General features: G+C 56.4%; 1 annotated feature.

The window, feature by feature from the left end:
- Nucleotides 4,641-5,142: an enhancer, noted in NCBI's record as "H3K4me1 hESC enhancer chr11:1042897-1043398 (GRCh37/hg19 assembly coordinates)". NCBI's record gives its function as "activates a minimal SCP1, AML or CMV promoter by ChIP-STARR-seq in primed H9 embryonic stem cells {active_cell/tissue: H9 hESC(primed)}" and the evidence as "EXISTENCE:reporter gene assay evidence [ECO:0000049][PMID:30033119]".

Consider the following 11,025-nt stretch of genomic DNA (forward strand, 5'->3'; position numbering starts at 1 on the left):
TCCTGCCTCAGCCTCCCAGAGTGCTGAGATGACAGGCGTGAGCCACCGTGTCCAGCCTTGGCTGTCCCTTCTTAACACGCTCAGTGGTCCCTGTGGTTCAGGTGAGAAGCTGAGGCACAGGAGTGAGGCCCTTGCCCTGTCATGCTGAGAGGTTGGATGGACGCAGGGCTCACAGCTGGCCCTCGTTCTGAGCTGGGGCCTCTCAGCCCGGGCTCGAGGTGGGGACGATGAGGGGCAGAGATCTTAGGGCCTCCTTCCCTGGGTGGGTCACTGCACCAGGGCAGCTGGTGCCAAAAGGGACCTCATGGGCAGGTGTCATGGCTGGGAGCCCTGTGGCCATGTCAGCCCGGCGGTTGTGCTTGTCTGACCACCTGTCTGGGCTTGTGAGAACCGAGCTCAGGTTCTCAGGAGGGATCCTATGAAGCTTTGAATGTAGGGGCAGGGGTGGGTTGGGGGTGAGAGCCAGTGGACACTGGTTCCCCGGCCAGGCCTGTAGGGCTTCGGGTCCTGGCCACTGAGGCTTCCATTTCCCAGCTGTAAAGTGGCAGAGACCCCTGACCTTGAAGGTTATGGCTGTGGCGTTCAGCATGTGAGTCCCCAGCGTCCTCTAGAATTGGGGGATCCCTGCAACTTGCACAGGTGTGGGGCGGGTGGGGGCTGGATACCACCAGCCTGCAATGGGGCTGCCCACTGGGCCTGTGGTGAAGATGCCCGCTTGCAGGTGTGTGGTGATTGTGTATGTGTGTGTGCGCATATGCATATGTGTGCGTGCACGTGTACCTGTGTGTGCGTGTGTATGTGTGTGCCTGTGTGCACGTGAGTGCCTGCCTGTGTGTGTGCATGTGTGCCTGTGTGTGCACGTGTGTGCATGTGTGTGCGTGTGTGTGCACGTGCCTGTGTGTGCCTATGTGGGTGCCTGTGCCTGTGTGCCTGTGAGTGCGTGTGTTTGCGTGTGTGTGCATGTGTGTGCACGTGTACCTGTGTGTGCCTGTGTGTGTGCATGTGTGTGTATAGGTTGAATTTCTGGTGAAAGCTGTGCATCCCAGAATTTATTGTCCCCATGATCTCAGGGCCACTCGAGTGTGTAGAAGGCCCTGGCCCCGAGCCCTGGTGGGGGCTCCATCGTGGCACCATGGGGCCTCCGGAGCCTGGGGGTCTCTCTCTCTCAATGCACTCGCTTGGTGGCAAATGGCTGGGAGCGGTGTTTCTGTCCTGGCCGGGGAGCGCTTGAATGCACTGAGCAGTGGGGGAGATAAGCGTGTGAGGTGTTGTTCCTGGAGCAACCTGGTGATAGGAGCCATGTCCTGTGGGCCTGGCTGGAGAACAGGGCCTGAGGACTGGACAAGTGGGTGATTGTCCCCTCTCATGCCCAGCGCTGGCCCCGCCCTCTATGTCCGTCTAAGTGGCCTGGCCCTGAACAGCGGTCACTCCAGGCCTGGTGTGGCTGTGAAGCGGGAGTCAGGGTGGGCCCCGGGCCCCAGCTTCCCGGCTGAACCGTTAGGGTGGGCGCTGGCTCCTAGACCCGCAGGGCTCCCTGGACAGGTGTGAGCAGACCTTCACTTGGACTTGAGGCCTTCACCCCTGCAGGTGTCTCCAGAAGGCTCTGGAACTGACTCGGGCCTGGCTCCCCTCACAGGAGGCTGAGGCCCTGGGTCTGCTGGGACTTGTGTTCACAGAGGCGCTGGGATGGACCTGCTGGTGGCCCCCTGCCCCTCGGCCAGCCCCTTCCCTGCCCCTCGGCCAGCCCCTTCCCTGCCCCTTGGCCAGCCCCTTCCCTGCCCCTGCCCCGCTGGGCCCTGTGGTCAGGTGTGACGTCCCCTGGAGGAGAACAGGTGGGGCTTCACCCCCTGAGGCTTGGCAGCTGGTCCCCATCAGATCAAAGGATTGAAAACTGTGGGTTTGGGGAGTGTTTGGGAAAGATTTCAACCCCGGGAGTGGGAATGCACCCGGGCTTGGATCGCTGCCATTCCCCATCCGAGGCGCGGGCCCAGTGCTGGCCGGCAGAGCTCAATATGGCCAGCCAGTGCCCAGGTGCATGCCCGAGGGGGCGCGTCACGGCTTCCTGTTGATCCGGATGCCCGATGTCTTGGGAGGCACTGACCCTGTGCCAGGTCCTGGGGCCCATTGCTTGGGGAGGCGGTGGGAACCTGGAGACCCTGGGGACAGAGTGGCTGGATGCAAGGTCCCCCAAGGGGCAGGGGGATGGCAGGGAAGGGGCGTCAGGCCTGGGGGAGGTCACCTGCCCCACCCTCCCTCCAAGGCCCTTGTGTGGCTGGGTGGGGCTGGCCCTGGGTCCTCTCCCTCTCCCCCGTCCCTGAGCGTCACTGGTGACCTCCCCATGGACTTGTCCAGCTTGCCAGTACCCTGCGGTTTTGCCTCCTGAGTATGTTGAAACGTTCCTAGTCCAGCTCTTGCCTGCAGCCACCCCCATCGAATCTGGCCTGCCGTGGCCCCCGCCCTGCAGCCCCGAGTGTGTGGTACCCCCTCATTCTCCCTAGCACCTCAGAGGAGGCCCTGCCTGGCTCTGACACTCCCTGACCTCTGGCCTCTATCCCCCTCCCTGGACAACTCCTGCTTCTCCACCAGCCCTGCAGACCCCTCTGACCCCAGCTGCTGGGGTCCACCCTGCCGGAGGTAGAAACAGAGCCAGCTGCATGCCACAGGTGAGGGCCCTCCCCAAGGCCTGGGGAGGGGCAGCGTGACCCCGGAAGGGCAGCTGCAAGGGCCGGGCAGTGCAGCTCACCCGGGCGACCACCAGCCCACCCTCAATGAGACCCCACAGCCCCTGTCCAGTGATGTTCAGAGGGCTAGGGCTCCCCGGGCACCCACTGGTCTGCACTTTCAGACTTGACTGCTTGGTGCCTGGGCTGGGATTTGGGGGCACTGCCCTTCCCCCGTATCCCTGGGACCCCCTTTGGGAGCCGGACACTCAGGTGCGCACAGCCCCCACCCCCAGCCCAGCCCCAGCCCTGTGCTGTCCGCTGCCCACAGCCCACTGTGTGGCCTTGAGTGGACTGAAGGTCTCGTCTGGCTGCGGGAGGGGCCCTGGTAGCTGCTGGGCCTGGAGGTGGCTGGGATGGTGGGCTGGCCCGCCTGTCCGGGGTGGGTAGAGGAGTAGCTAGCAGGAACCACTGCCTGAGGCTGGGCTCAGCCCAGGCTGGTAGCCTCATGTTCCAGAAAGGGCTGGGGAGCTCTCCACCTGCCCTCCTCCAGAGAGGGGCCCTTGTCCTTTTTGTCTACTTATGCCCCGTGCAGGAAGCAGGTCAGGGTAGGCTGGGGCCCTCAGGAGCGGGCACGTTTCAGCCTGGGGTGGGGGCAGGATACGGGCTGCCGGGGCCATTGAGGCAGCAGCACAGGAGGGGTCCTGGCCAGGCCACTCCTCCCTCCAGGTGGGAGCTTAGCTGGGGCGGGACCCCCACCTCCCCGGGTGAGCATTGCCGGCCGGTAGCCTTGGGCAGGCACCCAGGAGAGGCCCCTGGCCTGAACTCCTCTCACACCTGACTCTGGTACCTCTGAGCCCCAGGGTAGGTGGCTGAGTCATCTCCCCAGCTGGCACCCCAAATACCTTCTCCCCTTTTCCCATCCCATGGGAGGTGGCTGTGTGCCACAGGTGAGGGTGCAGAGCCCCCAGCTGCTCCCTGCCCTGAGAGTTTCGCCCCCTGGCATGGGGCCCTGGGCAGACCCTCTCAGGACAGAGCCTTCCTTGCAGGCCAGCCCTGCCAGGCCCTCACAGTGGGGGTAGCTGTGCCCCACCAGCCCCGAGGGGAAGACCAGGATCCTGAGGGCTGGGGTTCACCTCCGATGTCCTGGGGGAGATGTCCATGCGTTGCCAACTCCAGGCCTGAACCCAAGGCGCCCTCATCTGAGCACAGGGAGAGGCTGCCGGGACGGCTGGGTGTCTGGCTGACTGCCCCGCCCGGGCTCTGGAGCTGATAACCAGCGGATGCGGAGTGAAATGCAAACAGATAAGGCTGTTGGGAACTAGGCCCCCTGGACTGCTCCGGGCGGGCAGCCGTGGGGCACCACACTGCCCAGGGCCAGGGGTTATTGGGCCGCCTTTTGCCCTCAGTGAGCGCAGCTGGATGGGGAGTTAGCAAGGGCTTGCTCTCCGAGGGTGGCTGGTGAGGGGGCTTTGAGGAGGGTGGGGGGACCCTGGGCTGCCGACTCAGACTCTGGAGGCTGCTGGTCAAGTGGGGGTGGAGGTCAAGCTGGAGCTGAGGCTCATGAGACCACCTCTCTCCCAGGAATCCTCATCCCTCTCATGGGGGTGACATTTAGGACTCCCTTTGGGGAGCCCGGCAGGGCCCCAAAAGCACAAGTCAAATGGCCTCTGAGGGCAGCTGCAGCTCACAGCAAGGGGGCCCTGGGCAGCCCAGGGTGAGATGAAGGGCTTCCAGGGCTCCAGGTGAAGAGCAGGACTGGGTGGGGGGTGGGGCCAGGTCACCAGGAGGTGTCGGAGACCAGGCTGGAAGGTGACCTGGCCTAGAGTAAGCTGGGAGAGGTGGGTAAACTGAGGACCAGAGCTGGGGGTGGGGAAGGGACCCTGAGCCAGCCTGGGGGGCGGTGGTGCTGTGTGCTGGCGTGGAGTCTGGGCAGGTGCCCCGGCAGAGGTGCCTCTGCCAGCAATGGCGTTGGGGCCACAGGTCCTGCAGAGAATTTGAAGAATTTGTTTTTTTCCCCAGAAAAGCTCCAGGTATTGCAGCCAGACCTGAGTCTCTCTCAGGAATCACATCCAGGGCCCATTCCAGGCAGTTGGACGTGCAGTGGGGGCAGCCACTGAGGCCCAGGCAAGAAGGGGTGACGGGGCAGGTCCTGGTCCAGAGGGTTGTGGGGGATGCTGGCATGGCTGGCATGGCTGGCATGGCCTGCAGAGAGTCGAGGAGCGCCCAGGCTCACCACAGCTGGTTCTTCGGGTGTTGTTCAGGGGAAACACAGTGGAGGCCTGACGGGAACAGGTGGGTTTCCCGGCCACTCACACCAGGTGCCGGCCCAAGGGAGCCTTGGGCCTGATCTGCTGCCCAGCGGCCGTGAGTGCTGTGTGGCCCGTGGGAGGCCCCGTGCATATGGCCTGCAGAGTCAGGTGTGGGGGGCCCAGAACACGTAGGCCTGGCAGAAGCCCAGGTGGCACAGACGTGGCCCTACAGCCGGGCTCGGGGCCCCGGGAAGCCAGAGGCTCAGGCCCTCCCAGCTGGCATCAGGGCTGATCGGGGCTGAGACCGGTCATCGGAGCAGCCCATGTCCACTGTCCCCTGTCTCAGCAGCTCCCCGGGGGTCCCCCAAACCCCAACCCTCCCCCAGATAGGAGCACAAGCAGGGTGGCCAAGGAGCACCCCCCAGCTTACCCACGGACCCTGGCTCAAGACTGGTGGCCAAGGTGCACCCTCGCTGTACTAGGCAGTGGCCTCCAGTCCTGATGCCACCGACTCTTGGGGGCATGGCCAGTGCCCGAGGCGGATGCGTGCGCACACATGCTCCCAGGAGGTGTTTGTAACAACCCCAAACTGGAAATGACCCAGATGTCCATCAGAGCGCAGCCTGTTCACCTGCTCTTCCAGCTTCAGCAATTACAAACAAAGCAGTTAGAACACGTGTGTCCGTGTCTCAGAGGAGCATGTGCTGCCACTTCTCCCGGCGTGGACTGGCTGGATCACGTGGTTGGCGTCTGAATTTTTCAGAAACGGCCAAACTGTTTTCCGGCATGGCTGTGCCATTGTGCCTCCCACCCGTGATGTGAGTTCCAGCCCCTCCTCACCCTCCTGTATGCTTGACGTCGTCCGTTTTTAAAATTTTAGCCATTCTAACAGGTGTGCAGTGCTATCTGACTGTGGTTTTCATTTGAATTTTCCTAACGACTAATGGCGTTGAGCATCTTTCCATGCGTTTATTTGCCCTCTGTGTATCTTCTTTGATGAAGTGTCTGTTCTAACGTTTTGTCCATCCATTTTAAAATTGGGTTGCTTCAGTTTTGAGAGTTCTTTATATATTCTGCATTCGAGTCCTTCACTAAAAATACATACTTGGCAAAGATTTTTCTCCCAGTCAGGGCTTGTCTTTTTATTCTCTTAATAGTGTCAGAAGATACTATTAAGTGTCAAAACTTCTGTTCAAAAGAGCGGAAGTTCATTCTTTCCCTCCCTCCCTCCTTTCTTGCTTTCTTCTCTGTTCCTTCCTTCCTTCCTTCCTTCCTTCCTTCCTTCCTTCCTTCCTTCCTTCCTTCCTTCCTTCCTTCTTTCCCTCCCTCCCTCCCTCCCTTCCTTCCCTCTCTCTCTCTCTCTCTCGATGGAGTCTCGTGCTCTGCCGCCCAGGCTGGAGTGCAATGGTGCAATCTCGGCTCACTGCAACCTCTGCCTTTCCAGTTCTGGCAATTCTCCTGCCTCAGCCTCCGGAGTAGTTGGGACTACAGGTGAGTGCCACCCCGCCCGGCTAGTTTTTGTATTTTTGGTAGAGATGGGGTTTCACCATGATGGTCAGGCTGGTTTCAAGCTCCTGACCTCAGGTGATCCACCCACCTCGGCCTCCCAAATTGCTGGGATTACAGGCGTGCGCCACCTAGACTGGCCGAAGTTCTTAATTTTGGCAAAGCCCAATGTATTAATTTTTACTTTACACATCATGCTTTTAGTGTTGTGTCTAAGAAATCTTTGCCTAATCCAAGGTCATGATTTTATCATTATGAAAGGATCTTCTTTATTGCCAGTTCCTTGCTCTAAAGTCTACCTTTGTATTAATATTGCCACTTGATCTTTCTTTCTGTGTTAGCACGGTGTGTTTTTTCCTCTTCCTTTACTTTCAATAACTAATGTGTGTCTTTTACTTACAGTGAGATTCTCTGGGCAGCTTATAGAGTGATCTTGCTTTTTATTCTAGTCTGACAATCCACATCTTTTTATTGGGGGTGTTTAGACTATTACATTTAATGTAATTAGTGATGTGGCCAGGTGAAAAGCTACCATCTTGCTACTTGTTTTCTGTTCCTTCCATCTGTTCTTTGTCTTTCTTTTCTGCCTTCTTTTGGATTGACTATTTTTCCACAGTTCAGTTTTATCTCCTTGTTTGCTTATCTGCCATAACTTTTTATTATTTTAGTAGTTGTCTTAGAGTTTATAGTATGTCTACAACCTACTGTAGTCTCCTTTCCAAAGATATTATCACATTCCATATATAGAAGAAGAACCTTCCAGGCTGGGCACGGCGGCTTACGCCTGTAATTCCAACACTATGGGAGGCCAAGGTGGGAGGATCACCTGAGGTCAGGAGTTCGAGACCAGCCTGGCCAACGTGGTGAAACCCCATCTCTACTAAAAATACAAAAATTAGCTGGGTGTGGTGGTGGGCACCGGTAATCCCAGCTACTCGGGAGGCCCAGGCAGGAGAATTGCTTGAACCCGGGAGACAGAGGCTGCAGTGAGACAAGATCGTGCCACTGCATTCCAGCCTGGGTGACAGAACAAGACTCCATCTCAAAAAAAAAAAAAAAAAAGGTGCCTCACAGCTCCCTTCTCTTGGGTTGTGCAATTCTTGTCACCCATTTTGTGTCCACACACGATTCACACCGCACTGCATTGTTGGTATTTTTGTTTAATTAATTATTTTTTAAAGAGGCTTAAATAGTAAAAAAACTTCTATATTTACCCATACAATTACTATTTCAAATGCATTATTCCATCGTGTAGATCCATATTTCTTTTTTCTTTTCTTTTTTTTTTTGAGATGGAGTCTCGCTCTGTCACCCAGGCTGGAGTGCAGTGGCGTGATCTTGGCTCCCTGCAACCTCCACCTCCCGGGTTCAAGTGATTCTCCTGCCTCAGCCTCCCAAGTAGCTGTGACCTCAGGCACCCACCACAACGCCTGGCTAATTTTTGTGTTTTTAGTAGAGATGGGGTTTTACCATGTTGGTCAGGCTGGTCTTGAACTCCTGACCTCAAGTGATCTGCCTGCCTCTGCCTCCCAAAGTGCTGGGATGACAGGCCTGAGCCACCGAGCCCGGCCGTGGAGCCACATTTCTATCTGATTTCCTTTTCCACCCGCCTGAAGGGCTTTCTTTAACATTTCTTAATGGACACTGCAATGGTTATTTGTCTGAAAATATCTTCCTTTTGCCTTTGTTTTTGAAAGATGTTTTTCTAGGATGACAGCTTCTTCTTCCGTTTGTACTGTAAAGGTGCTGCTCTAGTTTTCTTACTGGCACAAGTTCCCCCGCCAAAAAAATCTGTTGTTATTTTAATATGTTTCCTCTTTGTAACACGCCCCCACCCCACAACTTAAGATTTTCTCTTTTACACTGATTCTGTATGATTAGGATTTGGTGTCATTTCCTTCATGTTTCTTGTACTTTGTACTCACTGAGCTTCTTGTATCTCTGGGTTTTAGTTTTCATTAATTTTTTTTTTTTTTTTTTGAAACAGAGTCTTGCTCTGTTGCCCAGGCTGGAGTGCAATGGCGCAATCTCGGCTCGCCGCAACCTCAAACTCTGGGGCTCAAGCAGTCCTTCCGCCTCAGCCTCCCGAGTAGCTGGGATTACAGGCGCCTGCTACCACACCCAGCTAATTTTTGTATTTTTAGTAGAGATGGGGTTTCACCATGTTGGCTGGGCTGGTTTCAAGCTCCTGACTTCAGGTGATCCACCTGCTTTGGCCTCCCAAATTGCTGGGATTACAGGCGTGAGCCACCGCACCCAGCCAAGTTTTCCTCAGATTTGAACAAATTATGGCCATGATTTCTTCAATTTTTCCTGTCCTCCTCTCCCTTCGTGGGCTCCGTTTACAGACGTGTCAGGCTGCGCGAAGCTTTGCCACCTACTGCTCGCTAAGGAGCTGTTTATTTTTTGGATTCTTTTGTCTTTCTGTGTCTCTATTATGTCTTCAAGTTCACCGCTGTCCTCTTCTGCATTGTCGCATCCGTTGTTAATCCTGTCCAGTGTGTTTCATCTCACACATAGTCATTTTCATCTTTAGATGTTTAATTTGGATCCTTTTTTATATGTTTCATGTTTTTTACTAAATACGTTCAATTTTCAGCATAGCATTTTGATGACATGGAATACTGTCGTAACGCCTGTTTTAATGTCTTTGTCGGCTAATTCCAACATCTGTGTTGGTTTTGTGGTTTGGATTAGTTGAATTTTCTCCTGATTATGGGTGGAATTATCCCCTTTCTTTACCTGCCTGGTACTCTTTGAATGGAGGTTGGACTTCGTGAATTTTACCTCGTGGGCTGCTGGATACTTTTGTGTCCTGGGGCTTTGTTCTGGGACATAATTAAGGGATTGGAGAGAGTTTGGGCCTCCTGGGCCTCGTGTGGCTCGTAGGTGGGCTCAGAGCAGTGCTGAGTCCAGGGCAAACTACGCCTCACCATTGAGGCAAGACCCTGAGGGGCACTCTGCCCACCGCACCGTGAACTTTGAGTGGCGAGGTTTCTCGGTGGTGCTGGCGGGAGCAGTGCTTTTCCCAGCCTCTGTGAGCTCCGCTGCTCTTCCTTCCAATCCTTCGGGTCGTTGCTCGCCAGCCTTAGTCTCCTCCCAGGCACGTGCTGAGCGGGTTCCCTGCCAAACGCTCAAGACGGACCTTCTGCAGGTCTCCAGGCTTTGCTCTGGGCAGCTCTCTCCCTGCCAGTGTCCTGTGCACTCCAGCTGCCGTGGTCTCCCCGGCCTCTCATCTGAGCTCTTCCTGAGTTCTCCTTCCTGGCCCCTTGTCCTGGAAACCCTCAGGCGGTGACCTGGGCAGTTTAGGGCTGTTTCCTGTCTGCCATGGACTGAACGTTTGTGTCTTCCCCACCCTCCGGTTCCTGTGTTGAAATCCTGGTGCCCAAGGTGACGATATTAGGAGGTGGGGACTTGGGGAGGTGGCAGAGCCCTCAAGAATGGGGTTAGTGTCCTTACAGGAGAGATCCCAGAGCCGGGCGCGGTGGCTCACGCCTGTAATCCCAGCACTTTGGGAGGCCGAGGCAGGTGGATCACCTGAGTTCAGGAGTTCGAGATGAGCCTGGCCAGCATGGAGAAACCCTGTCTCTACTAAAAATATGAAAATTAGCTGGGCATGGTGGTGGGCGCCTGTAATCTCGGCTACTCGGGAGGCTGAGGCGGAGAATCACTCGAACCTGGGAAGTGAGCTTGCAGTGAACCGAGATTGTGCTACTGCACTCCAGCCTGGGTGACAGAGTGAGACCCTGTCTCGAAAAAAAAAAAAAAGAGACCTCAGAGAGCTCTCCCACCCCTTCTACCAGAGGCGAAGGGGACCCAGTGGGAAGGTGCCGTCCGTGAACCAGGGAGTGGCCTCACCAGACATCGAATCTGCCAGAGTGTGGATCTTGAACGTCCCGTCCTCTGCAGCCGTGGAGATGCGTGTCTGTTGCTTTTATGCCGCTCAGGCCATGGCGTTTCCGGATAGCAGCCAGGTTGGAGGGACCCGCTGTCTCTCTGGGACCACTCTCTTCGTCGCCTGATGTCCACCGTCTTGACAGATGTTGTTTCCCATATTTCCTGGAGTTTTTTAGTTGCTAAATCCTGGCCTCTGCTACTCTCTTTGCTAAAAATGCTAGTCCTTGATGAAATGGAATCTTGATACTTTAATACAGAGTGGAACATAGTCACTAAATAAAACCTGGAAAAATGTAGAAGAGTAGCAGGAAGAGAACACACCCCAGCCCCGCGGTCCACCCACCCGCAGTCCCTATCGCCACCTCCTGGCTCTGGTTTCCCTGCTCGTGGGGCTGGGCAGCATTGCTGCAACTCTTGATTCGCTTTCCTGGGGCCACCATAACCAAGCAGCACAACCCGGGAGATGGCTCAGAGTCTCTCTGCGTCCTGGGAGCCTGAGATCCAGGAGTGGGTGGGTTGGAGAATGGTTCTCCCTGGGTCACTCTGGAGGACCTCTTAAGGTGGACTTCTTAAGGGACCCCCGGCTCCCACCTTGCCAAAGAGCCTCCGAGCCACACCTGCCTCCCGCAGGCCTCCAGTTGGTGCCCACATGCAGCCCCCGCCGTGGGGTCACCCTGGGGTAAGGGTCTCTCCTCCCCTGCTAACCTTCT

This window comes from Homo sapiens, chromosome 11 (genome assembly GCF_000001405.40).
Source record: "Homo sapiens chromosome 11, GRCh38.p14 Primary Assembly".
Classification (NCBI taxonomy): Eukaryota; Metazoa; Chordata; class Mammalia; order Primates; family Hominidae; genus Homo; species Homo sapiens.